Genomic DNA, 27207 nt, shown 5'->3' with positions numbered 1-27207 from the left:
GGGGTGGAAAAGAAAGGGACAGATACAAGAAATAATTTAAAAAAAAAGAATTGTGAGTGTGGTGGCTCACATCTGTCATCCCAACACTTTGGGAGGCTGAGGCGGGAGGATTGCTTGAGGCCAGGAGTTCAAGATCAGCCTGGGCAGCATAGTGAAACCCCATTTCTTAAAAATAAATAAATACATAAATTAGCCACGCATGGTGGCTCATGCCTGTAGTCCCAGCTACTTGGGAGGCTGAGGCAGGAGTATCGTTTGAGCCCAGGAATTTGAAGCTTCAGTGAGCTATGATTGAGCCACTCCATTCCGGCCCGAGTAACAGAGTGAGACCTTGTCTCAAAAAAAAAAAAAAAAAAAAAAAAAAAAAGGAAAAATCTCTTACGTTAAATAAAATGAATAAGCTGGGTGTGGTGGCTCATGCCTGTAATCTCAGCACTGTGGGAGGCTAAGGTGGGTGGATTGCTTGAGCCCAGGAGTTTGAGACCAGCCTGGGCAACATGGTAAAACCCCATCTCTACAAAAAATACAAAAATTAGCCCAGTGTGGTGGGGTGCACCTGTGGTCTCAGCTACTCAGGAGACTGAGGTGGGAGGATCACTTGAGCCTGGAAGGTTGAGGCTATAGTGACCCATGATCATGCCATTGCACTCCAGCATGGGTGACAGAGCGAGATCCTGTCTCAAAAATAAGTCAGTCAGTCAAGAACTGACTTTGGATGGCACAAGGGAAAAGAAGTTGAAGAAAAGGCCAGGCGCGGCAGCTCACGCCTGTAATCCCAGCACTTTGGGAGGCCGAGGTGGGTAGATCATCTGAGGTCAGGAGTTCGAGACAAGCCTGGCCAACATGGCAAAACCCCATCTCTACTAAAAATACAAAAATTAGCCTGGCATGGTGGCACATGCCCATAATTCCAGCTACTCGGGAGGCTAAGGCAGGAGAATCGCTTGAACCTGACGGGGTGGAGGTTGCAGTGAGCCGAGATCGCACCACTTCACTCCAGCCTGGGCGAAAGAGCGAAACTCCATCTCAAAAAAAAAAAAAAAGGAAGTTGAAGAATAACTGCAGATGTCTTGTTTGGGTAACTTTATGTAGTGTTGTGTACGTTAGGGCCATTAACTAAGCCCAGGAATACCTTTAAAGGGAAAGGTGGTGAAGGCTGTTCAAACACAGTGAGTTCATGTCTAAAATATGTTTTGTTTCCCTCATTCCTTTCCCCATCTTCTAGTTACTAAAAGATGTAACTGAACTGCAGATCCTTGGTGAAATATCTTTCAACAAATCTCTATATGAGGGACTGAATGCAGAGAACCACAGAACTAAGGTAATTCCTGGCTGGCTTCTGAGTAGTGCCCAAGGAAAATTGTGCCTAACCTTTGAGCACCTCCACAGACATTCTGTTGCCCTCTTCCTGTTTTCAGCCTTAACACTTCTGATCTTGGCTCTGCCATCGCTGCCTTTGTGACCTTTGAGTGAGTCAGCTTCTTATGAAATAAGGCAATTAAGAGGCCTAAGCTGAGGAGTTCTGAGTTGAAATAACTAGGCTGGAATCTGCAGTATATACTTTGATTTGAAAATGGATTGATTAAAAAAAAAAATTTCGCAGCTGGGCGCAGGTGGCTCACGCCTGTAATCCTAGCACTTTGGGAGGCCGAGACAGGTGGATCACCTGAGGTCAGAAGTTCAACACAAGCCTGGCCAACATGGAGAAACCCTGTCTACCAAAAATACAAAAATTAGCCGGACATGATGGTGGGTGCCTGTAATCCCACCTACTTGGGAGGCTGAGGCACGAGAATCGCTTGAATCTGGGAGGCAGAGGTTGCAGTGAGCCGAGATCACACCACTCCACTCCAGCCTCAGTGATAGAGTGAGACTCAGTCTCAAAAAATAAATAAATAAATAAAAAATGAATTACCTAAGTGAGAAATTGTTTTTTGTATCCAGTAACTGTCTTAGTGTGCTGTATCAGTGTTTAGTTATAGTATTAAACAGTACTCAGGAATGCATAAATCTTTTATAAGATTTAGACTAGATACTGGAACTCTTGGAATTCTTTTTGCAAAAGTATGACTAGAAGTCAGACTGATGCCTGTGATTTGTGGACTGAATGCTTTGTGTGTTACCCTGTGTTTTCATTCTTGTTGACCCTTGCCTGGACATGGCTTCAGAGGTGATCTATCTGTGAGCTCTGAGCTCTTTAGTTAGGCATGATTCTCTACTAGAGGGAATGTCAGGAGAGTGATGCTGGATTGCTAAATATAAGGTCCTCTGTTTTCCTCCCTGGAGGAGGAGAAAGGAGCAATTCTCTAGACATGCCAATATAACATTTCCTTTTATTTTTAAGTAGTGTATTTCTTTTTCTTTTCTTTTCTTTTTTTTTTTTTTTTTTTTTGAGGAAGAATCTCACTGTGTCGCCCAGGCTGGAGTCCGTTGGTGCCATCTCGGCTCACTGCAACCTCCACCTCCCCAGTTCAAGTGATTCTTCTTCCTCAGCCTCCCGAGTAGCTGGGATTACAGGTGCCCACCACCATGCCTGGCTAATTTATTTATTTTTTTTAAATAGAGACAGGATTTCACCATGTTGGCCAGGCTGGTCTCGAACTTCTGACCTCAGGTGATCTGCCCGCCTTGACCTCCCAAAGTGCTGGGATTACAGGCATGAGCCACCATGTCCGGCTAAGTAGTGTATTTCTAATACAGAAAATAGAGGGAAATGGAAAATACAGAAAACGGAAGAAATAGAAGTGCCCCATTATTGCACTGCCCAGATTTTAACAAATAAAAATAATAGCAAGAAAATCCAAGCCATACAGAGAATGGTACCAAATGAAAAATAATTGTTCCTTCATTTCTCCCTTCCCATGCCCCCAGCAGGGAGGAGTTACTATTAAGTTTCTTATGTGCACATTTTAAATTTGTATGTTTCCCCCTCTTACTTACTGATACTTTTATTTCTATAGCATGGATTCCCCAAAATTCCTTTCTTTAAATCCAATATCCTAAGCAAAGTGTTAAGTAGTTCCTGACAATAAGCCCCTGACTTACAGTGACTCTATGAGTATAAACAAACTGTATCCAAATGCATTTCAGCCACAAGAAAGGGAAAATCCAGCTCATGCAGCATAAGGGCATATGCTGTTTATCCAGTGAGGGAGGCCGGCCTGGGGCGATGGCCTGGCTTCTTTGGTCCTTGTACTCTGCCGTGTGGGGGACGCATTCCTTCATGGCCAGCACAAAGTTGCCACATCTCCAAATGCTGTATTTTCACATGGCAGGATACAAAACAGGAAGCAAGAAGTCAGTAGCAAAAGGATGTTGGATTTTTCTTCATGTGCCTTCCCTTTTCAGGGATGAAACAGTTTCCAAAAGCTCCCAGGAGACATCCTCTTACATCTTATTAGTGAGATCTGAATCTCATGTCAGTCACTGGCAAAGGAGAATAGCTGTGTCATGATCACCTGAGACCAACGATGATTCCTGAATAAAATCCAAAAGGAGAGAGGGGCCCCTGGGCAGGCCAGCATCCGTGTTTGCTGCAAACAGTAGTACCCGGTGCCTTGCTTCTCCCTTAACCTCTACTTGGGCATCTTTGGGGCACTTTTGGGAATCTGTGGGTTTAGAAGAAGATAAAGGGAGGTGGCTTTGAGAAATAGGGACATTTCTTCTACTCACATCTGGCCTGTTTCCCGAGTCACCTTGGGACTTCCTTTCACTTCCCAAACCCAGGGTCTTGAGTCCCCCTCCTTCTCCTGTAGAATATTCCAGCCCTCTTTCTGTTCTTCCTCCCTCTTTGTTGCTATGGTACCTCCCTATTCTCAAAGCCTAGGACTTCACTCCTATTTAGTTCAGCTACCTATGAGCTAAATAGGACTGGAAGGTCAACTTTAGGTCAACCAGCATTTATAACTTAATTGGAAGAGGCCTTAAAGGTAAGTTTGTCCAGCCCTTCACCCCGTACAGAAACCTCTCCAAAGCACCCCTGACCTTGGTGCTTAAACATACACGTGAAGGGTTGCTCTGGGCAGGCAGAGAAGTCTTGTTGGCTCTCTGGCCCCACCTAAGTCCTGGGAACTTCCTCTGGCCACAACTTGGAAGGGCCATACCTGGGTCTCAGGAAGGACATCTCCTGAACTTTCTAGCTGAGCCCTGCCAGAAGAGAGATTAGACTCCCGAAATTGGGAGAGCCTTTGGAAAACAAAACCTGCGGATGACTTCTAATAGCTGAGCTCTGCAAGTAGTACACATGGATATAATTTGCATTTATTATGTCCCTTAGGTAATACACACTTTTTAGTCTGGTGAGGGGAAGACCAGTACTTTTGTCATATTTTATGTGGGGAAAGTGTATTACCAAAGCCTTTAGGGATCTGTGCAAGATCAAAAAGAGCCGTCAGAACGGAGTTGGAAAGGACTTGGAGATCATTTAAAGGAAGTCATCATTTTAAAGAGCATAGGCACGGGGCTCAGGGACATAGAGCAGTGTAGCGGCGTGACAGCCTCACAGTCCTGTGTTGAGACCGGATTCCGTGGGACCCTCTTTCAAGCTGTCAGAGCATCTTTAACAGAAGGTCATAATCTCCTGACAGACCTAGCCCTTCTAGATAAGGGGCCAGAATAGTTTCTTACGAAGTATTTGGGTGATTGGATAGTTTTAGATGATCTAAAATGCTGCATCAGGGAATATCTAGCTTTTTGCTTTACTGTCATCAGCTTTGATCAATACACGGGTTGTTGCCAAGTCCTCGTATTTTGCTCCTTAAAATAACATGTAGGATTTTTTCCTTGTTTGCTTCACCTGATTTATTGGGCGATCTCTTTGTCTTGTCTAGATCACTGTCGTCTTCCTGAAAGATGAGAAGTACCATTCTTTGCCTATCATCATTAAAGGCAGCGTTGGTGGACTTCTGGTGTTGATCGTGATTCTGGTCATCCTGTTCAAGGTCAGTTCTACTCATGGCATCACAGTGAGGGAAGACTGGGCTCTAGTTTTGGGCACAGAACTCCTTAGGACAGCCAACCTCTGACTTAGAGCAGCTGCCCTGGCCTCGTGGCCACTTTTTTCTCCTCCTTCAACTGCACACCCCCATTTAGACAAATGAGTAAAACAGTATCTGTCTGAAAAGAGAAAACTCTGAGTTATAAAGAGTGATTTTATATATATTTCTTTGGTACCTCCCTATTCTCAAGGCCCAGAACTTAATACTGTTATGTTCGGTTACCTGTGAGTTCAATAGGGCCTGGAAGGTCAACCCTAGGCCAGCATTTATAACTTACTTGGAAGAGGCCTTAACGGTAAGGCCTTAAAACAGATGTGACTGTTGTTCCCCTGTTGAAATCTTTTCCTTGCCTTCCCCTGTCTTAATGTGCAAACTCTTCTACTGCTATTTAAGATCCTCTCCTCTCTGTCCGCTACCCGTCTCTGCCCTTAAGTGTTGCTTTTTTTTCTTTTTTTTTTTTGAGACGGAGTTCCGCTCTTTCGCCCAGGCTTGAGTGCGGTGGTGCGATCTCGGCTCACTGCAACCTTCCCTTCCCCCCACCCTGACCCCGGGTTCAAGAGATTCTCCTGCCTCAGCCTCCTGAGTAGCTGGGATTACAGGAATGTGCCACCATGCCTGGCTAATTGTTTTGTATTTTTAGTAGAGACGGGGTTTCACCATATTGGCCAGGCTGGTCTCAAACTCCTGACCTTGTGATCCTCCCGCCTCGGCCTCCCAAAGTTCTGGGATTACAGTCATGAACCACCACTCCCAGCCTCTTTTTTAAAAATAAACACCAGGGTCTTTGTCCCCCAAGCTGGAGCTCAGTGGCACAGTTAAGGGCTCACTGCAGCCTCGTACTCCTAGGCTCAGGTGATCCTCCCATCTTAGTCTCCTGAGTAACTGGGACTGTTACTCAGGTGCATGCCACCACACCCAGCTAATTTTTTAATTTTAATTTTGTGGAGATGAGGTCTCCCTATATTGCCCAGGCTGGTCTCAAACTCCGGGGCTCGAGCCATCTTCTCATCTTGGCCTCCCGAAGTGGTGGGGTTACAGGCATAAGCACCTGACCTTGCTTTTTTCTCCCAACAAGTCAAACTATTCCCTAAATAGGTTCGTGCCTCTGCGTACGCGTAGGCTGCTTTTCTTGTCAGGAATGCCCTCCATGACTGCTCACTTCACTCACTGTCTTCCCTGAAAGCGGTCTAGAGACTCCTGAGTCCTCTGTGCTGGCTTCTGTGTGTTTGCTGTGAGCTCCCTTCTAGAAACCCTTCCAAATGGCAGTCATCACACTGTGTTGTAATTATCTCTTTTTCCTACTAGATGATGAGCTTGATGTAGGAAGCTGTACTTGATCTCCTTCTGTCTTCAGCATCATAGGCTATACTGAGTATTTTTGCATAAATAAGATTAGATCCAGTACAGCCGAAATTATCATGCTTTGCAAAATAAGTTAAAAAGGTTCAGCTGCTCGGGAGAGCAGGGTTCAGAGGAAGGTGGAGTCAGTTCTGATTGAGGGATGAGCACCAGAGGTCTTGAAGGATTGGACTCTCCAGGAGAGATTCAGAGTAAGTTAGGAGAAGGGAGTAGTAAGTATGAGAAGCAGAGGAATATAGGGGCTATTTAGGCAACAGCCAGAATGCCGGTTTTCTGAAACAGATGGCTATCTTTGGCCTGTAACTGGACTTTTCCTTCCTTTGTTTCAGTGTGGCTTTTTTAAAAGAAAATATCAACAACTGAACTTGGAGAGCATCAGGAAGGCCCAGCTGAAATCAGAGAATCTGCTCGAAGAAGAGAATTAGGACCTGCTATCCACTGGGAGAGGCTATCAGCCAGTCCTGGGACTTGGAGACCCAGCATCCTTTGCATTACTTTTTCCTTCAGGATGATCTAGAGCAGCATGGAGCTGTTGGTAGAATATTAGTTTTTAACCATACATTGTCCCAAAAGTGTCTGTGCATTGTGCAAAAAGTAAACTTAGGAAACATTTGGTATTAAATAAATTTACACTTTTCTTTGCAGTAGTGCCTTTAATCTGGAAATACAGTATTACTTAGGATTTGCAGTACATTTTGCCTGATAGGGCAAGTTTTCATTCTTATTTTTAAAAAATGATAGATTGTGGCCGGGCATGATGGCTCACGCCTGTAATCCCAGCACTTTGGGAGGCTGAGGCAGGCAGATCACGAGGTCAAGAGATCGAGACTATCCTAGCCAACATGGTGAAACCCCATCTCTACTAAAAATACAAAAATTAGCTGGGCATGGTGGCGGGTGCCTGTAGTCCCAGCTACTCAGGAGGCTGAGGCAGGAGAATCATTTGAACCTGGGAGGCGGAGGTTGCAGTGAGCCGAGATCGTGCCACTGCACTCCAGCCTAGCAACAGAGTGAGACTCCATCTCAAAAAGAAAAAAACAAAATAGGCGGGGTGCGGTGGCTCACGCCTGTAATCCCAGCACTCTGAGAGGCTGAGGCAGGTGGATCACGAGGTCAGGAGATGGAGACCATCCTGGCTAACACGGTGAAACCCCGTCTCTACTAAAAATAAAAAAAATTAGCCGGGTGCGGTGGCAGGTGCCTGTAGTCCCAGCTACTCGGGAGGCTGAGGCAGGAGAATGGCGTGAACCTGGGAGGCAGAGCTTGCAGTGAGCCAAGATCACGCCATTGCACTCCAGCCTGGGCAAAAGAGCAAGACTGTCTCAAAAAAAAATTATCGATTGTATCCTTTCAGATAATTCTTAAGTATCAATTTTTCAGATTTCCAGAAGAAACTCTTTGGGGTTTTAATTTAAACATACAGGTTAAGTTTGGGAGCATTGATATCTTTATAGATTTCCTTTCTACTCCGCTTGCTGCGATTTATTTTTTAATTTTTATTTTACTTTATTTTTTTTTTTTGAGACAGAGTTTTGCTCTTACTGCCCAGACTGGTGTGCAATGGTGTGATCTTGGCTCACCGCAACCTCCGCCTCCCGGGTTCAAGCGATTCTCCTGCCTCAGCCTCCTGAGTAACTGGGATTACAGGCATGCGCCACCACGCCCAGCTAATTTTGTATTTTTAGTAGAGATGGGGTTTCTCCATGTTGGTCAGGCTGGTCTCAAACTCCTGACTTCAGGTGATCCACCTGCCTCAGCCTCCCAAAGTGCTGGGATTACAGGCATGAGCCACCGCGCCTGGCAATGCTGAGATTTTTAAAAACACTCTGCAGCAAGGTTTTATAATTTTCTTCAAAGGGGTCTTAATTTATAAAGACTTACTTCCAGCTGCATTTTTATTTGTTTATTTATTTTGGGGGGGTCTCACTGTGTTGCCCAGGCTGGAGGGCAGTGATGCAGTCATAGGTTGCTGCAGCCTTGAACTTTTGGGTTCAAGCCGTCCTCTGCCTCAGCCTCCTGCGTAGCTGGGACTACAGGTGCAAGCCACTATGCCCGGCTCATTTTTTAATTTTTCTTTTGTAGAGATGGGATCTAGCTATGTTGACCAAGCTGATTTCAAACTCCTGGCTTCAAGTGATCCTCCTGCCTTAGCCTCTGAAAGTGTTGGGGCGTGAGCCACTGCGCCTGACCTGTTATTATGCTTTTGTTGCTACTGTGTGAAAATACCGTTTTTTCCCCCGACTGTTTAGAGTTTGCACTTAGAACAGTTGGTGGTTTTGAATGTTTATCTTATCTGGCCATTTTACTGAACTGTGGTTTTGTTTTTTTGGAGACGGAGTCTCACTCTGTCGCCCACGCTGGAGTGCAGTGGTGTGATCTCTGCTCACTGCAACCTCCGCCTCCCGGGTTCCAGCAATTCTCCTGCCTCACCCTCCCGAGTAGCTGGGACTACAGGGACCCACCACCATGCCCAGCTAATTTTTGCACTTTTAGTAGAGATGGGGTTTCACCATGTTAGGCTGGTCTCGAACTCCTGACCTCAGGTGATCCACCCGCCTCAGGCTCACAAAGTGCTGGGATTACAGGCATGAGCCAAATCCGGGCCCGGCCAAACTGTTTTTAAATCACTCTTTAGTTGATTCTTTGGGATTTTTCTAAGGAGACAATTTTATTTGCAAATAATGGCAATTTGGAGTCTTTCTGATATTTCTACTTTTGGCTACCCTTACTTCTTTGACTAGGACGTGGAGAGCTCTGAGAAGTAAACCGTGTACCTGGTTGTAATGGGAGGGCTTTTCTGGCCCTCCTCTGCCTGCCTCACACCTGCCTGTTATCCCAGCCCCGGCTGCTCTGCCTTTGGGTAGTTTCTAGGGCTTGGTTGGAGCAGCCCATTCACCTCTCATGGAGCCCCGTACCTTGCCAGTGTTACATCACTAGGCTGTTGGGCACCATCTGCTTCCCTGTTGATCTGATTCCATCATCTTCATTTCGTTCAGAAATCCGTCTGTGCTATCGGTCACTTGATGATATTGTTCTCTGTTTTCCAATGCTGCCACAGGCTTTTCCCCTTCCTTGTAACTCTTGGGTTGTTTCAGTGGAATTTGCCTTTGAGGGAAAACACACAGGTAAGTTTGCTTACTTATTTTCCTGTTGTGCTCAGGAGTTGTGTCCAAGTTTTCATATTATATAAAAGCCCCTGCTTTTTATACTTTTTAAAATTGCAAATAAGACCCCACTTCCATCGTCACTGGGAAGCCTGTTTGTTATTGACTTACTGAGTCGTGCTGATCCAATTGGCGTTAGAGCAAGGCAGCTGTAATCGGGGGAACTACATCAGGAACTACTTAATGAGGAGGAAGACACTTTTAAGTGCGACATGGTTAGATTTTACAAATTCATATGCTATGGCTTGGGCCAAGGTCTGTGGCATACACCTGTAGTCCCAGCTACTCAGGAGGCTGAGGCATGAGAATCGCTTGAACCCAGAAGGCAGAGTTTGCAGTGAGACGAGATCGTGCCACTGCACTCCAGCCTGGGCAACAGAGCGAGACCCTGTCTCAAAAAAATAAATAAATAAATAAATAATGAGGCCGGGCGCAGTGGCTCACGCCTGTAATCCCAGCACTTCGGGAGGCGCCGACGTGGGCAGATCACCTGAGGTCGGGAGCTTGAGAGCAGCCTGACCAACATGGAGAAACCCCATCTTCATTAAAAATACAAAATTAGCTGGGCGTGGTGGTGGGTGCCTGTAATCCCAGCTACTCTGGAGGCTGAGGCAGGAGAATCGCTTGAACCCGGGAGGCAGAGCTTGCAGTGAGCCAAGATCGCGCCACTGCACTCCAGCCTGGGTGACAGAGCGAGACTCCGTCTCAAAAAAAAAAAAAAAAAAAAAAAAAAAAAAGAATGAGTGCTGGGCTCAGCCCTGTGGAGTAACCTTTTCTCGTAATTGAATGAGGTCTAAATAACGTGGCCAATTTAGGTTTTCACACCTGCTTGGTTTCATTGGTTTCATCCCTCCAAAGTTCAGATGGTATCATGAGAGAAACAGGTTATTCGAATCTGCACTCACTATCCTGTACCAGGGCAAAGGAGAACAGAAAGCACATGGGGTACTTTCCCAGCCGGTCTTTCTTCTACAAGCTGCCTTTTAGGTGCTAGGCCTTTCTCATTTCCTTTTCACCCTCTGCCTGGGACAGGAAATGGTAGAGCTTGCATAGATCCAAGAACAGTGAGTCATGCCATAGGGCCACTCTGCTACCCAGAAAAGGACTGAGCTGGGACCCGCTGAACTTTGGATGCAGTTATTGGAGGGAACAGCAGTTTTTTTTGTTTTGTTTTGTTTTTTTGAGACAGGGTCTCGCTCTCGTTCATGCTGGAGTGCAGTGGTGCGATCTCGGCTCATTGCAACCTCCGCCTTCTGGGTTCAATCGATTCTCATGCCTCAGCTTCCTAATTAGCTGGGACTGCAGGTGCATGCCGCCACGCCCAACTAACTTTTGTATTTTTAGTAGAGATGGGGTTTCACCATGTCGGCCAGGCTGGTCTTGAACTCCCGACTTCAAGTGATCCGCTCACCTCGGCTTCCCAAAGTGCTGGGATTCCAGGCGTGAGTTGCCACGCCCGGCCTCCTGCTGTCTTAAATAATCTGCACTACTGCATTATTCTGTGCACATCTCTAATACATTTACAAGGAGGGGTTTTTGGTTAAGATTTTCTGGGTCTTCTAGTCATAATTATATTATAATGGCACCAGAATTTTACCATTACTTGAACTAGGAACAGATTCAGTATATGGAATCAAGGGAAACTTTCATTTTATTAATTTATTTATTTATTTATTTATTTGAGATAGAGTCTTGCTCTTTCTCCCAGGCTGGAGTGCAGTAGCATGATCTCGGCTCACTGCAACCTCCGCCTCCCAGGTTCAATCGATTCTCATGCCTCAGCTTCCTGAGTAGCTGGGACTGCAGGTGCATGCCACCACACCAAACTAATTTTTGTATTTTTAGTAGAGACTGGGTTTCACCATGTTGACCAGGCTGGTCTTGAACTCCCGACTTCAAGTGATCCGCTCACCTCGGCTTCCCAAAGTGCTGGGATTCCAGGCGTGAGCCGCCACGCCCGGCCTCCTGCAGTCTTAAATAATCTGCACTACTGCATTATTCTGTGCACATCTCTAATACATTTACAAGGAGGGGTATTTGGTTAAGATTTTCTGGGTCTTCTAGTCATAATTATATTATAATGGCACCAGAATTTTACCATTACTTGAACTAGGAACAGATTCAGTATATGGAATCAAGGGAAACTTTCATTTTATTAATTTTTGTTTGTTTTGTTTTGTTTTTCTTTGTTTGTTTTTTGAGACAGAGTCTCGCTCTTTCGCCCAGGCTGGGGTGCAGTAGCATGATCTCGGCTTACTGCAAACTCCGCCTCCTGGGTTCAAGCGATTCTCCTGCCTCAGCCCCCCGAGTAGCTGGAACTACAGGCACCCGCCACCATGCCCAGCTAATTTTTGCATTTTTAGTAGAGACGGGGTTTCACCATGTTAGGCTGGTCTCGAACTCCTGACCTCGTGATCCACCCACCTCAGCCTCCCAAAGTGCTGGGATTACAGGCTTGAGCCTCCACTGCACCTGGCTATTAAAATTTTTTAACTTTTACTTTTGGAGACTGGGGTCTCACCTTGTTACCCAGGCTGGACTTGAACTCCTGAGCTCAAGTGATCTGCAGTAGCTGGGACTAAGGGCATGTGCCACTGTGCCTGGCTTAGGGAAACTTAATCACTTCAGGAAGCATCGTCGTCCTAATAGCAGAGTTCAGGAGGATGCACCTAAATTGACAATTCCCAACTTCGGTTGACTTGCTTTGTTTTTTTATTAGTGGGAGCAAATTTTGTAAAGTACATGAGTAATAGGTACATTTCTCATAGTGAAATCAGTAAAAAGTGAAAATTTGCCTTTGTCGCAACCTTGCTTCATTCAATGCTCTTCCTCAGAGGCTGAGATGACCTGGTTTAACGTGTATCTTTCCAAACCCATATTCTGAGCCGGGCACTTTGGGAGGCCGAGGTGGGTGGATCACCTGAGGTCAGGAGTTCGAGACCAGCTTGCCCAACATGGTGACACCCTGTCTCTACTAAAAATGCAAAAATTAGCCTGGCGTTGTGGCAGGCGCCTGTAATCCCACCTCCTTGGGAGGCTGAGGCAGGAGAATCGCTTGAACACGGGAGGGGGATGTTGCAGTGAGCCAAGATTGTGCCATTGCACTACAGCCTGGGTGACAGAGCAAGACTCTGTCTCAAAAAAAAGAAAAGAAAGAAAACCAAACCATATTCTGTGCATCTCTAAGTATTTATATATATTTATATCTAAGTACAAAGGTTTTTTTTTTTGAGGGGGGTTGCATAAATAAGATGGTATCTTCTGCCATTTGTGACCGTTTTCAAGGAATGCATGTCAGAAGCTAAATGCTGCTGCTAAATGCTGGGGGTCAGGTGGGGGAATAGAGGGAAGGGTATCATCTTGGGCTAACATAATCTTTGGGGAATTAATCACAATTTGTAAAGAAGCCCTTTTAGCTTTTTCCAAGAGTGGAATTAAAAACTTTTTGTAATTGCTCTGCAGTGCCGAAGTGCTTTCCAGAAAGACCGGACCACTTTATGTGGTTATCAGCAGCGTGAACTTGTTCTGGAATCTCCATTTTTACTTAATTTGTTTGCTTAATGGGTATATAATTATAGTTTCAGTTTTACTTTTCTTTGACTGTTGGCAAGGCCATGTATTTTTCCATGAATTAAGATGACTTTTTTTTTTTTCCTCTATGCTTTTTCTTTCTTGTCCAGTTCAAACAACATGACCCTGGTATTTTCTCATTAGCTTTTTCTGAGCTGCTCCCTGCTTCTGGGGTAGAAGAGGTGCATTTCTACCTCTGAACTTCTGAGCCTTTGGGCAAGTAAGGGTGATTTGACTTTAATAGGATTAGAGAGCCATGTGCTCTCCAAAGTGGGGGAGCTAAGTCTTACAGATGAGGTGGTGGGCATTAGGAAGCAGCCGTCATCATTGGTGGTCTGTCTGAAAAACAGTCTTCCTAAGTACCACCAGGGAGAAGACAGGACCACGGTGCCCTTCCGCTTCTGGGAGAGGCCCTGCCCTTGCCCTCCCTCTGTCCCTGAGGAGGAGATTCCTGGTGTTTTTTTTTTTTTTTTTTTTTTTGAGACGGAGTCTCACTCTGTCACCCAGGCTGGAGTGCAGTGGCATGATCTCGGCTCACTGCAAGTTCCGCATCCCGGGTTCACGCCATTCTCCTGCCTCAGCCTCTCAAGTAGCTGGGACTACAGGCGCCCGCCACCAAGCCTGACTAATTTTTTGTATTTTTAGTAGAGACAGGGTTTCACCGTGTTAGCCAGGATGATCTCGATCTCCTGACCTCGTGATCCACCTGCCTCGGCCTCCCAAAGTGCTGGGATTACAGGCGTGAGCCACCGCGTCTGGCCGAGATTCCTGGTTAACCATCTCCTAGGACCCCGCAGCCAGTTGCAGTCCTGGGGGCACAGTAGTCAGGGGGACTGAAGGTGTGGTCTCTGTGGATGCCTCATCTTCTGTCCAGGGCCGAGAGGGGGGTCTGGACTAGTCCTTCCCAGAACTGCCAGACGTTTTCGAGCTCTTGGCTTTGGTTTCTCGGCGTGATCTTTCCTCTCTTTAGAGCTGTGAGATCTGAGGCTAAGGTTGGAGTGCTGGGATGAATGAGAGAAAACACCACTGGCTCACTTTGGTGCTGCAAACCTTTTTGATTTCTTAGTCTGGCAAAAGGCTGCCAGCCTAAGTGGAATTGGGATACCCAGGCCTGGGGTCTTTTGGCTCCCGGATGAAGAACTGACTGGATTGGCTAGCTGGTTAAGGACACCAGTACCTCTAGGTTAGGGGTTTCTGACTGTTCGGTGGGCTGTAGATCCTTTTGGTGGTCCAGCAACCCCTTGTCAGGTATTTTCCCAAACGTTGCATTACGAAAATGTTCACACATACAGAAAAGTCGAATTCTACAGTGAACACCGGTCTGCCCACCACCTAGTTTCTGCTGTTAGCATTTTCCTCTGCTTGTTTTGCCCCGTTTTCCCAACCGTCTATCAGCTTATTTTTAAACAATAAAAGTTTATAAAAATCAATTACATTGAAATCTAACAATCAGAATGTTTTTAAAAATTTATATAGAGATGTTTGTATATCTTTATTAATGCCTTAAAGCAGCAGGTCTAATAACTACCCTACTTCCAAAGTGGTGATGAGCTTACATTATATTTTGAGATACCTGCGGTAGCTGTAATGTGACAGGAATATACAATTTCTGTTGGTATCAAGATTATAGGTGGGCGCAGTGGCGCACGCCTGTAATCCCAGCACTTTGGGAGGCCGAGGCGGGCGGATCACCAGGTCAGGAGATGGAGACCATCCTGGCTAACACGGTGAAAACCCGTCTCCACTAAGAATACAAAAATTAGCCGGGCGTGGTGGTGGGCACCTGTAGTCCCAGCTACTTGGGAGGCTGAGGCAGGAGAATCACTTGAACCCGGGAGGCAGAGATTGCGGTGAGCCGAGATCACACTGGCTCCTTGCTCCGACCCCCGAAGGCTCTGACGCTCTAGCTTGGCTTGGATCTGGGCCTCCGCATTTTTCGGCATGTGCTCCAGGTGGTGGTGATGTGGGAGCCGCACCCTGTGAGATGCTAATTATGAGATCAGTGTGTGTGTTCATCTGGTTACACTTTGTCAATGGGCTGCACTCAGCACAGACCTGGAGTCTTGGTGATGAGTAAGTTACTTCAGGAGACGAATTTTAACTTACTGCTCTGGTGGAATTACGTCTGTTGAAATCTTCTATGGGCCAGGCACAGTGGCTCACAGCTGTAACCCCAGCACTTTGAGAGCGCAAGGTGGGCAGATCACTTGAACCCAGGAGTTTGAGACCAGCCTGGGCAACACGGCGAAACCCTGTCTGTACAGAAAACATAAAAATTACCCAGGGGCCAGGCGTGATGACTCATGCCTGTAATCCCGGCACTTTGGGAGGCTGAGGCAGGCAGATCACGGGGTCAGGAGATCGAGACTGTCCTGGCCAACATGATGAAACCCCGTCTCTACTAAAATACAACAAATTAGCCAGGCGTGGTGGTGCGCGCCTGTAGTCCCAGCTACTCAGGAAGGTGAGGCAGGGGAATCACTTGAACCCAGGAGACAGAGGTCACAGTGAGCTGAGATTGTGCCACTGCACTCCAGCCTGCCGACAGAGTGAGACTCTGTCTTAAAAAAAAAAAAATTATCCAGGTGTAGTATGTACCTGTAGTCTCAGCTACTCAGGAGGCTGAGGTGGGAGGATCACCTCAGCCCAAGGAGGTCAAGGCTGCAGTGAGCCATGATTGTGCCACTGCACGCCAGCCTGGGTGACAGAGTGAGACACCATCTCAAAAAAGAAAAAAGTAATCTTCTATTAATATACACACAAAAATAAAAGTCACTTAGTCACTCTACCCCAGACACTTCAAGTATACAGGCTAATGGGTGATTAGAAATTTCATTCATTCGTTCTTTGTTCATCATTCTACAAGCCTCAGTGACTACCTACTTCATGCAGGTCCTGTGGTCAGACTGTTGAAGGCCTTTCCTGCTTGACAGATATGTACCCAACTGTGACAGCGAGGGAGAAAGCAATGAATTCTCTAAATGGTACAGATCCTATCGTGTGGACATTTGGAGGAGGACAGCAATTGAGGAGGCCTTCATGAAGGAGAGAGACACCTGTAAGCTGACCCTCGAAGCCATGAAGAACAGAGGAGAGATCCACCTGGGCAAAGGTAGGGAAGCTGGACACTGAAAACTATGGTAAAGCCCACGAGCCAAGCTGGCTGAGGCTGAGTGTGCAGTGGGGACTGTGTAGCTGGGAAGGCAGGTAGGACTGTGCATTGGATCCGAATCGTGTACAGGGAACTATGGGAAGACACGGGCATTCGTGGTATTTGATACGTGGGTTTCACACTCATTGCATTGCCACCATTCTCACACTCATTCTCATTGCATCACCACAGTCCTGGAACTTGGGAGTGGAGAGGAGCGGATGCGTGTGAGAAAGTTCACACATGCTGTGGGGGAAGCCAGCGCCGGGAACTGGAGTTAGAACAAGATGTGCGTAGCTCTAAGAGGTACCGTGGTAGACTTGTCACTGCTTTGTGGATTTGGTTGACTCGAGTTTGATTCTTTATCCTCTCTTTTTTTGAGACGAGAGTTTTGCTCTTGTTGTCCAGGCTGTAGTACAATGGCATGATCTCCGCTCACCGCAACCTCTGTCTCCCAGGTTCAAGCGATTCTCCTGCCTCAGCCTCCCGAGTAGCTGGGATTCCAGGCACGCATCATCACACCCAGCTAATTTTGTATTTTTAGTAGAGACAGGTTTTCTCCATGATGGTCAGGCTGGTCTCGAACTCCTGACCTCAGGTGATCCGTCCACCTCGGCCTTCCAAAGTGCCGGGATTACAGGTGTGAGCCACCACACCCGGCCTGAATCTTTATCCTTTTTAGTGCCCAGTGGACTAGCATTTGGCTCTTTACTCTTTCAAGTGTTTACTGTCTCAGTGGAATTTTCCTCAGTTCAAATATTGGGCGCTGGGTACTGAGTACCAACCCATCAATTACGGTGGGTCACACAAGGTGCTGATGGGCACGGAAGTGCCTCCCACAGAGAGGAGTGTCCTGCCTTCTGTTGACTGCATTTACATGGCGTTAATAATGCATCTGCCATTTAAGTGGATCAGTAATGTCTATTAATGGGATATGTCCGTCATGGAAGGACCTCAGCAAAAGGAAAAGGGCGAGTTGCCTTGGGAGGCTCTTGGTGAAACTCTTCCCGTACCACCCCTGCCCACTCTTGTCTCTCTGGGCCACCCAGCTCCTCAGGACTCGGCAGGAAGGCTGGGTCTGCAGCTGGCCCCCTTATCGCGGAATGACCTTCTGTGCCCCAGGAGAGATTCAAATCTCCTCCTTCCAGGCCTTCCTGCTCCTTTGAGGTGGGAAATAGAATTCACCATAAGGAAGTAACATCTGAACCTCTACTCCAAGAACCATATGATTTTATGGGATTTGGGTTTTGTGTGGTTTTTTGGGTTTTGTTTGTTTGTTTTTTTGAGGCAGAGTTTTGCTCTTGTTGCCGAGGCTGGAGTGCAATGGCGTCATCTCAGCTCACCACAACCTCTGCCTCCTGGGTTCAAGCAATTCTCCTGCCTCAGCCTCCCGAGTAGCTGGGATTACAGGCATGTGCCACCACGTCCGGCTACTTTTTTGTATTTTTAGTAGAGATGGGGTTTCTCCATGTTGGTCAGGCTGGTCTCGAACTCCTGACCTCAGGTGATCCACCCACCTCGGCCTCCCAAAGTGCTGGGATTACAGGCGTGAGCCACCATGCCCGGCTGGGGTTTTTAAATGTTGTTTATTTTCTGTTTTGTTTCCTTTAATTTTGTGGGGAATGTTTTTTGGGTTTGTTGGAATCTCAGGCTAAGGGGGAGGTGTTATTTCACCCTCACCAGAGCTGGAGGGGAAGAGAGAACCCACGTGTCTTCAGAGGCTGCAGGGGTGACCAAGGGACACCTCCAAGCTGCTGCTGGGAACAGTGATGCTGTTGGCAACTCTCCTGCAGCTGACATTTTTCCTCTTGGAAGCACTTCATCCCATAGGGAAATGAGGAGTTTTCTTTTTCTTTTTTTTTAAAGTATCCCTCTGTGTCACCCAGGCTGAAGTGCAGTGCCATGATCTCAGCTCACTGCAGCCTCAATCTCCTGGGCTCAAGCAATCTTCCCACCTCAGCCTCCCAAGGAGCTGGGACCACAGGTACTTGCCACCATGCCCAGCTAATTTTTTAATGTTTTTTGTTTTGTTTTGTTTTTTTAGGTAGAAACAAGAGTCTCACTTCGTTGTCCACGCTGGTCTCTAACTCCTGGGGTCAAGTGATCCTCTCACCTCAGCCTCCCAAAGTGTTGGGATTGTAGGTGTGAGCCACTGGGCCTGGCCTCGTTTGTTGTTGAGTTTTTCTATTTGAGGAGTAATTCCCCTGTCTCTAAAGGCTCAGCCCATTGCACCATACATTCTCGCTTTTCATCTATAAAATGTGTAGAAGGAACAGATACTGGTGTGGGGAAAGCTTGGGATCAGAGGCAGGAGAGTCTGGTTTCCCCCAGGTGAGGCCCCCAGCACATTTCTTTGGAGGAGGGGAGGGCTCTGTCTGAGGCTCCCTCGTAGCTTTTACTGGATACATTTGGGAGTCCACCAGGATTTTATCAGAGACTGTCCCAGGTCTCAGAGCAGACCAGGATGTCCCAGAGTGGGTCCAGACCACAATAATAGACTTTAAAATGCTGGCAAGTCTTAGGAGCAAGGGAGATGATGTAAAAAGAAAATGGCAGGCTGGGTACAGTGGCTCACGCATATAGTCCCAATGTGTCTGGAACTGGTTCCTTCCGGTGGGTTCTTGGTCTCGCTGACTTCAAGCATGAAGCCATGGACCCTCGTGGTGAGTGTTACAGTTCTTAAAGATGGTGTGTCTGGAGTTTGTTCCTTCTGATGTTCTGATGTTCAGATGTGTCCAGAGTTTCTTCCTTCCAGTGGGTTCATGGTCTCGCTGACTTCAGGAGTGAAGCTTCAGACCTTCGCAGTGAGTGTTACAGCTTATCAAGGTAGTGTGGATCCAAAGAGTGAGCAGCAGCAAGATTTATTGTGAAGAGGGAAAGAACAAAACTTCCACAACGTGGAAGAGGACTCCAGCAGGTTGCCACTGCTGGCTTGGGTGGCCAGCTTTTATTCCATTATTTGGCCCCACCCACATCCTGCTGACTGGTCCATTTTATAGAGCGCTGATTGGTCCATTTTACAGAGCGCTGATTGGTCCATTTTACAGAGTGCTGGTTGGTGCGTTTACAATCTTTAGCTAGACATAGAATGCTGATTGGTGCGCTTTTACAGAGGGCTGATTGGTGTGTCTACAATCCTTTAGCTAGACACAAAGCACTGATTGGTGCATTTTTACACAGTGCTGATTGGTGCATTTACAATCCTTTAGCTAGACACAGAGTACTGATTGGTGCGTTTTTACAGAGTGCTGATTGGTGCATTTACAATCCTTTACCTAGACAGAAAAGCTCTCCAAGTCTTCACTCGACCCAGGAAGTCCAGCTGGCTTGATCTCTCACCAGCACTTTGGGAGGCCCAGGTGGGTGGATCACTTGAGGCCAGGAGTTCGAGACCAGCCTAACCAACATGGTGAAACTCCGTCTCTACTAAAAATACGAAAAAATTACACACAAAAAAATTACTCACCGCCGGGCATGGTGGTGTGTGCCTGTAGTCCCAGCTATTTGGGAGGCTGAGGCAGGAGAATCACTTGAGCCGGGGAGGCAGAGGTTGCAGTGAGCTGAGATTGCACCACTGCACTCCAGCCTCGGAGACAGAGCAAGACTCTGTCTTAAAAAAAAAAAACAAAAAAAAAAAAAACAGAGAAAATGTCCCTTTAGAAGTTCCTTTTTTTTTTTTTTTTTTTTTTTCTGAGACAGAGTTTCACTCTTGCTGCCCAGGCTGGAGTGTGCAATGGTGTGAACTCTGCTCATCACAACCTCTGCTTCCTGGGTTCAAGTGATTCTCCTGCCTCAGCCTCCCAAGTAGCTGGGATTACAGGCATGCGCCACCATGACGGGCTAATTTTGTATTTTTAGTAGAGACGGGGTTTCTCCATATTGTTCAGGCTGGTCTCGAACTCCTGACCTCAGGTGATCCGCCCACCTTGGCCTCCCAAAGTGCTGGGATTACAGGCGTGAGCCATCACGCCCGGACTTAGAAGTTCATTTTATAGTTCTCATCACTTCACTGCAGGTACCTTAAATCATCCAACTAGACCAGAGGTGTCCAATCTTTTGACTTCCCTGGGTCACATTGGAAAAAGAATTGTCTTGGGCCACACGTAAATACACTCACACTAACAATAGCTGATGAGCTAAAAAAAACAAAAAATTGCAAAAAAAACCTCACAACGTTTTAACAAAGTTTGTGAATTTGTGTTGAGCCACATTCAAAGCCGTCCTTGTGCCTAGGGTTGGACAAGCTTGAACTAGACAAAGGCTTGTAAATCAGACAACAACGGAACAACAGTCACTGCTCATCCCGTCCTTTATTTCAGGTGAACAGGAAGGGATTATACTCATTACAGGGAAGCGTGATGTGGACTCCTGTGAGGGAGGAGAAGGAGGGGGGCCGTGGTGAGGCAGTGAGGGGGTTGTGACTGCTCTGAACACCAGCCATTCGCCCTGGGCCCCTGGCTGGGGTGAGGGGAGTTTCTGGGGAGGCCTCAGGAAGCTTCCAATCATGGTGGAAGACAGAGGAGGAGCTGGCATGTCACAGGATGAGAGGCAGCAGGAGAGAGAGGAGGAGGTACCAGGTTCTTTTAAACAACTAGCTCTCGCGTGAACTACCAGAGTGAGAATTCACTCATTATCCGGGAGATAGTGCCAAGCCATTCATAAAGAAGCCACATCTATGACCCTACACCGCCCACTAGGCCCCCTCCAACATGGGAGGTCACATTTCAACATGCGATTTGGAGGAACACACATCCAAACTGTATCACTCGAAAGCAGCAGGCATTTTTCTCTCAGTTGGAGAATTCATCTTGGTTTTGGAAATGTCCCTGACTTGGAATTTTTTTTTTTTTTTTCGAGCCAGAGTCTCACTCTGTCGCCCAGGCTGGAGTGCAGTGGCACAGTCTCGGCTTACTGCAAGCTCCGCCTCCCGAGTTCAAGCGATTCTCCTGCCTCAGCCTCCCAAGTAGCTGGGACTATAGGCGCGTGCCACCAGGCCCGGCTAATTTTTGTATTTTTCATAGAGAGGGGGTTTCACCATGTTGGTCAGGCTGGTCTCAAACTTCTGACCTCGTGATCTGCCTGCCTCGGCCTCCTAAAGTGCTGGGATTACAGGCGTGAGCCACACTGCCCGGCCCTGACTTGGACTTTTAATAAGGCAGGTGTAAAAAGCAAAGTCCTCATCTCCCCACTGGGCACAATGGGTGTTTGGCATGTGCTTGTGAGGGTGGTGAGTTGGCCTCAGCCATGGGGAGATAGAATGCAGATACTGGGGGCCACAGCTTGTAAGTGTTTTCCACATTATTTGGACTGTGACCCACAGGAAGAAGTATATTCCACATCACAATGCCATATGTGGACACTTAAAACAAAAGTTTCACATAACACCAATACTTCCTTAAATACACTAATTTTCTTTCTTTCTTTCTTTCTTTCTTTCTTTCTTTCTTTCTTTCTTTCTTTCTTTCTTTCCTTCCTTCCTTCCTTCCTTCCTTCCTTCCTTCCTTCCTTCCTTTCTTTCTTTCTTTCTTTCTTTTTTCTTTTTCTTTCTCTCTCTCTCTCTCTTTCTCTCTTTCTTTCTTTCTTAGATGGAGTATCACTCTGTCACCCAGGCTGGAGTGCAGTGGCGCGATCTTGGCTCACTGCAAGCTCCACCTCCTGGGTTCAAGCGATTCTCCTGTCTCAGCCTCCTGAGTAGCTGGGACTATAGGCGTGTGCCACCAGGCCTGGCTAATTTTTGTATTTTTCATAGAGAGGGGGTTTCACCATGTTGGTTAGGCTGGTCTCAAACTTTTGACCTCGTGATCTACCTGCCTCGGCCTCCCAAACTGCTGGGATGACAGGTGTGAGCCACTGCATCCGGCAATATTTTCTATTTATTTGCGATAATTGCTCACTACAGTGTTGAACTCCCAGGCTCAAGAGATCCTCCTACCTCAGCCTCCTGAGCAGCTAGGACTACAGGTGTGCACCATCCCACCTGGTCAATTTTTTTTAAGAAGCAGGGTCTCTATCATACAGGCTGGAGTGCAGTGGTGCAATAATGGCTCACTGCAGCCTCAACCCACCTGGGCTCAGGTGATCCTCCTGCCTCAGCCTCCCAAGCAGCTGGGACCACAAGTGTGCACGACCACATCCAGCTAATTTTTTATTTTTTGTATAGAAGGGGTCTCCCTATGTTGCCCAGGCTGGTCTTGAACTCCTGGGCTCAAGCAATCCTCCTGCCTTGGCCTCCCAAGGTGCTAGGATTAAAGGCATGAGCCACTGTGCCTGACTTGGCTAGTTATATATATAGGTGTGTGTGTGTGTGTGTGTGTGTGTGTGTGTGTGTGTGTGTCTGTCTATATATATAGACAAAGTTTTGCTATGTTGCCCAGGCTGGTCTTGAACTCCTGGGCTCAAGCGGTTCTGCTGCTTCAGCCTCCCAAAGTGCTGGGATTACAGGCATGAGCGCCTGTGCCCAACCTATTTTTTTTAATGCTGGTTGTCGCCCAGTAATTTGATGTCATGCCTCACCAGTGGGTCTGGATCTAGTCTCTGAAGCTGTGCAGTAAGGGACCCCGTAAGGATGGGCCTGGTCCTGTCCCCGAGAGCCCTGTCCCCTCTAGATGCCCCTCATGTGGTCTCTAAAGCTTCAGGACAGTTCCGTCAGAAGTTGCAGCCTGGTCTTGGCTGTGCCGTGGGGAGTTCAGGAGGGGCTGCCTGTACTGGAGGGGAAGTCAGAGCAGAGCCCTTCTCTAAAGCCACAGTGGCAGTTAAGACAGGACATGGAGGGCAAGTGCCTGGCAGTTCAGCCTCTCCAGTAGCACACAAAGGTTTGATGAATCAAGAACAGCAGAGTGCCTGGGACTGGGGCTAGTGGTAGGCTCTGCTCTGGGGCCTCACTTACTCACCCCTTCCCTAATCACCCCAGAAAAATGAAGGTCCTGGTCTCTAAAGACCCCTTCAAAGAACAAACAGGCCCTGGAACAAAACCTGGAACTCCCTTGGGGAGTGGAGAGACTCAATGTGGCACCATCTCTGTGACACTCATGTTGTCCTGTGCTGGGGTTGATGGGCAAGCTCTTCTCCAGGGCAGATGCAATTCAGGCGACTCCTGTGAGACTCTGAAAGTCCACCTCCCCTCTATACCTTACCCTGGAGCAGCACTGTCAGGGTGACGGGCATCTTCTTAGGGGTGATGTCACTCGGTGGCGGCTGCTTTAGTGAGCATTGGAGTGCTGTGTTAGCAGGGGGCTGAGGAGGAGGCTGGCAGGAGAGCCAAGATGACTTCAGCCCCTAAAATTCGCAGTCATGACTGGGGCAGGGTGGAATCGAAATGCCCTCCCTGTTGAAAAAAAAAAAAATCAGGGCCAGGTTTGTCCACTCATTCAATAATATGTCTAGAACTATTATGTGGCAGGCACAGGGACATACAGAGATGTCCAAAGGCATGGTCCCTGCTCTCCGGGAGCTTCTGGTCTTAGCATGGGACACAGTCACTAAGTCAACGAGATCCTACTGGATAGTGACAGGTGCTCTAAGGGAATAAGATGAGATAATGGGATAGAAAGTGGCTGGGCTGGGACTGGGGGCTACTTTGGGTGGGCAATAATAACAGGCCTTTTTGAAGAAATGGCAGTTGAGTTGAAATGGATGAAAAGATGCAAAGATCCACGCTTTCCCAAATGACAGTTTGAGAGCAAAATACAGGTTCCCAGCCCCATCTTAGATTTCGTGAATGAAAATTTGAGGGGCAGGGCCTAGGAATTTGCCTTTTTTTCTTCCACATGATTCCCATGCACTTTGAAACTGGACACCTTCCTTGGGGCTTTTACTTTAGAATCACACTGATGAATTTCAGGGTACCTTCCAGTTCCCCGAGTCTGTGGCTTAGGGAAGGGAGCCTCTTTGTGTGTGAAAGCCAGGGGTAGGGAGAGGAGCAGGACTGCTTGTGGTCAGACTGCAGGATGCAGAAAATAAGCGTGCGCAGCTCCTCACCACACCGCGCTCACCCAGGGCCCTGCGTCTTTGGCTGTCAGGAGTTCTAAACCTGCCCCCCCGGAGGCCCTCCCTCATCCCACTCCCACTCCTGTTGAATTCCACATACTGAGAGGGTTGCAGTCATAGCTGCATGGATCAGTTCTATTTCTTGTGCGTTGGGAACCATTCCAAACAGTTGGTACATGCGCACTCTCCAGGCATATTTTTAGGATCCTAGGGTGGGTTGCCTGTGTCTCCCCGCCCCCACCCCGTCTGCCCCCCACCCCCGCACCATCCGCCCTGAGTGTGGGAGGGAGGTCTTCATGCTGCCGGCACTCGGGACCTGCCTGACCACCGACTCCGCCGGAGTGTGGGCTTTTAAACCTGCAGCAGCTGCTGCAGTAGAAACGCGCATTAGTCGCAGCAGACACAGGCAGCCTCAGGTGGGACAAGTCTTGTCTCTTCCAGCCTGTGGGGGAGCCACGGCTTCCCCCCCACAACCACCCCCTGCCCACGGAGCAAGAATGTATCTCCCTGGCAGGAGACCTGGCGCGAGGTGAATGGAGAAACCTGTTGTGTCCCCTTCCTTCCTCCCCTGGCCTCAGTTCCCCATCTATTCAATAGGAAGAACCCTTTGGGATTTCTTTGCGAGAGAAAGGGGAGTTTTGCTTTAAACGGAGCTCTTCCCGGCCGTGCGCGGTGGCTCACGCCTGTAATCCCAGCACTTTGGGAGGCCGAGGTGGGCGGATCACCTGAGGTCAGGAGTTCAAGACCAGCCTGGCCAACATGGTGAAACCCCGTCTCTACTAAAAATACAAAAATTATCACGCCTGTAGTCCCAGCTACTTGGGAGGCTGAGGCAGGAGAATCGCTTGAACCCGGGAGGCGGAGGTAGCAGTGAGCTGAGATCGCACCACTGCACTCCAGCCTCGGCGACAGAGCGAGGCTCCGTCTCAAAAATAAATGAATAAATAAATTTAAAATAAAATAAAAAGGAGCCCTTCCCCCTTTCACTTCCTCTCCTCCGCGATCGCTGCTTTCAGCTGGGCAACAGCACAGGGCGGTCCTGCGCATCCGGGGGGCTGCGCTCCCAGACCGGTGGCTGGGGAGTAGGTTGCAGGGGTGTCACTGTGTCAGGGGAGGAGGAGGAGGAGGAGGAAGAAGAGGTAGCGGCAAGGTCGCGGTCTGAGGTTCCGGTGCTCGCCGCCGCCCAGCTCCCAGCCGAGGCTTTCTCAACCGCGTCAATAAAAGGCCGCCCCGACCCGCCCCCGCGCCCCGCAGCCCTGCCGGACACCCCGGGCTGCAGCTGAGCGGGCGCAGACGGGCCGAGGCGGGCGCCGGGCGCGCAGGGACCGAGGGACCGAGTGCTCCCCATGAGCGCACGTGGGCCGGGCGGTCCGCAAGCCCGGCTGAGAGCGCGCCATGGGGCAGGCGGGCTGCAAGGGGCTCTGCCTGTCGCTGTTCGACTACAAGACCGAGAAGTATGTCATCGCCAAGAACAAGAAGGTGGGCCTGCTGTACCGGCTGCTGCAGGCCTCCATCCTGGCGTACCTGGTCGTGTAAGTTCTCCGCGGACTTTTGGGAAGGCGGGGGAGGGGCAGGGCGGGTGCCAGCCGCCGCGTCCTTCTCCAGGGTCCTGGAATTCGCAGGCGTGCACGCGGTTTTCCCGGTAGCTGGGGGTCTGTGAGCCTGCTTGCTGTGGGGGTCCTCTTTGGGTCCTTGGGTGTAGGAGTAGGGTGTAGAGAGGGGGCTCTCCACTCCCCCACTGGCGCTAGAGGTGATGAGAGGTGGGCAGGGGCCTTCTGGTTTCCTCGATTTATCAGGCTTTCCCTGCAGCTGCTTCTCCCAGAGTCGGGTCCCCACGTGTTAGGGCCATGGGAAGGGGGCAGGGATGCCAGGGGGCTGGGTGGCAGCTGTCGCCCCAGGAGCCTCCCTGGGCCTTGGCCTGGCAGCTGACCCAGGCGCCGGCAGGTTATTTATAATCACAGGGTGTCACTGCCTACTCAGAGCTGGAGAAACTCATCAGCCCGGCATGTTCCTGAGCTCCCTTCCGGTCAACTTGCCCCACCCGCGGCCAGCCTCTCTGGTGTCCAGCTGGGGGTCCTGCCCAGAGGCCTCTATCTCTGCACCCAGCTCGGCCATCCCCTTCCCCCATCCTCATGCCACCTGGCAGGAGCTGGCGCCACAAAGCCAAAGAGGCAACTTGTGGAGGCTGCTCTGCCAGGCGCCTTCAGAGCCCTGACCCCGGGGTGGGTCGGGGGTGAGCAGGTGGAGGGGAGAAGCAGCGCTGGACAATGGGGATGCGCCTCATTCCACTCGTTCAGTAAATGCGGTGGAGTTCCTCCTGCTTCCTCCTGGGAGGGCAGCCCTGACGCCTGGCTCTCCCTCGGAGGTCCAGCAGTCCGCGTTCTCTGAGCTGCATCCCCAGGCCCCTGGCCGCCTCCCACCTGAGCGGCCTCGTAGGCGCTGTGCTGTTGCTCAGCCAGGCCTGCCCGTCCTCCTCCACTCCCTTAGCATCCACTCAGCCCCCAGATCTGGGCTTTCCAGTAACTCCCTCTCCCTTCCTCCCTGGCCTTCCCACAGTGTAATTATTGGGCTTATTTGGGGGATCATTTGCCTGATGTCGCTGTCAGTCCGGGAATGCCCTGAGGGTGGGGCCCCAGCAGCACTTAACTGCTTAGGGAATAGATGTGAAATGAACGCATGAATGAATAAATGGAGTTGCTTTTGCTTGAACAATAGAAATTTAATTCTCGCAGTCCTGGATGTGGAAATCTGAGACGAGGGTGGTAGCATGGTTCGGGGTCTCAGGGGGGGCTCTCTCCTTGGCTTGCAGATGGCCACCCTCTCGCTGTGTCCTCACATGGCAGGGAAAGCAGGACATATTTAACTAAGTACAAGTATGAAAATTAGGAAATTGGCGGCCGGGCGCTGTGGCTCATGCCTATAATCCCAGCCCTTTGGGAAGCCGAGGTGGGTGGATCACCTGAGGTCAGGAGTTCGAGAC

At 48.8% G+C, this 27207-nt stretch overlaps 2 protein-coding genes and 1 long non-coding RNA gene across 17 annotated transcripts in view, besides 5 other annotated features; all 3 read left to right on the top strand.

Moving 5' to 3' along the window:
- ITGAE (integrin subunit alpha E) overlaps window positions 1–7000 on the top strand; it is an 86561-nt gene extending 79561 nt beyond the window's left edge. For 7 of the 8 annotated variants that reach the window (NR_189126.1, NR_189124.1, NR_189130.1 and 4 more), the window contains 3 exons: window positions 1226–1321; window positions 4830–4940; window positions 6686–7000. Coding sequence is in view for 3 of the 8 variants with exons in the window: in NM_001425071.1 (NP_001412000.1) it covers window positions 1226–1321; window positions 4830–4940; window positions 6686–6781 (303 nt within the window). In the remaining 5 variants the exon portion in view is untranslated. The remainder of the gene's footprint in view (window positions 1–1225; window positions 1322–4829; window positions 4941–6685) is intronic. The other variant, NR_189129.1, reaches the window with a different exon arrangement.
- P2RX5 (purinergic receptor P2X 5) overlaps window positions 1–27207 on the top strand; it is a 50609-nt gene that overhangs the window by 2208 nt on the left and 21194 nt on the right. For 4 of the 8 annotated variants that reach the window (NM_175080.3, NM_001204520.2, NM_001204519.2 and 1 more), the window contains exon 1: window positions 25473–25759. In NM_175080.3, coding sequence (NP_778255.1) covers window positions 25623–25759 — 137 coding nt within the window. In that variant the 5' untranslated portion in view covers window positions 25473–25622. Of the gene's footprint in view, window positions 1–1225; window positions 1322–4829; window positions 4941–6685; window positions 6892–9414; window positions 9482–15982; window positions 16203–25472; window positions 25760–27207 lie in introns of those variants that run through there. The other 4 variants (NM_001425084.1, NM_001425085.1, NM_001425083.1 and 1 more) reach the window with 4 other exon arrangements.
- Window positions 10606–10806: a silencer, noted in NCBI's record as "peak2691 fragment used in MPRA reporter construct". NCBI's record gives its function as "represses an SCP1 promoter by STARR-seq MPRAs in K562 erythroleukemia cells {active_cell/tissue: K562}" and the evidence as "EXISTENCE:reporter gene assay evidence [ECO:0000049][PMID:32103011]".
- Window positions 19166–19366: a silencer, noted in NCBI's record as "peak2690 fragment used in MPRA reporter construct". NCBI's record gives its function as "represses an SCP1 promoter by STARR-seq MPRAs in K562 erythroleukemia cells {active_cell/tissue: K562}" and the evidence as "EXISTENCE:reporter gene assay evidence [ECO:0000049][PMID:32103011]".
- Window positions 25224–27207, top strand: part of P2RX5-TAX1BP3 (P2RX5-TAX1BP3 readthrough (NMD candidate)) — a 33512-nt gene continuing 31528 nt past the window's right edge. The window contains exon 1 of the long non-coding RNA NR_037928.1: window positions 25224–25759. This is a non-coding gene — a long non-coding RNA (P2RX5-TAX1BP3 readthrough (NMD candidate)). The remainder of the gene's footprint in view (window positions 25760–27207) is intronic.
- Window positions 25244–25603: a silencer, noted in NCBI's record as "silent region_8018". NCBI's record gives its function as "represses an Ori minimal core promoter by ATAC-STARR-seq in GM12878 lymphoblastoid cells {active_cell/tissue: GM12878}" and the evidence as "EXISTENCE:reporter gene assay evidence [ECO:0000049][PMID:35858748]".
- Window positions 25724–25773: an enhancer, noted in NCBI's record as "active region_11514". NCBI's record gives its function as "activates an Ori minimal core promoter by ATAC-STARR-seq in GM12878 lymphoblastoid cells {active_cell/tissue: GM12878}" and the evidence as "EXISTENCE:reporter gene assay evidence [ECO:0000049][PMID:35858748]".
- Window positions 25886–26402: an enhancer, noted in NCBI's record as "H3K27ac-H3K4me1 hESC enhancer chr17:3598520-3599036 (GRCh37/hg19 assembly coordinates)". NCBI's record gives its function as "activates a minimal SCP1, AML or CMV promoter by ChIP-STARR-seq in primed H9 embryonic stem cells {active_cell/tissue: H9 hESC(primed)}" and the evidence as "EXISTENCE:reporter gene assay evidence [ECO:0000049][PMID:30033119]".

Source organism: Homo sapiens, chromosome 17 (genome assembly GCF_000001405.40).
Source record: "Homo sapiens chromosome 17, GRCh38.p14 Primary Assembly".
NCBI classification, from domain to species: Eukaryota; Metazoa; Chordata; class Mammalia; order Primates; family Hominidae; genus Homo; species Homo sapiens.
The sequence above is the reverse complement of the archived record's forward strand: the minus strand, read 5'-3'. Positions and strand labels throughout refer to the sequence as shown.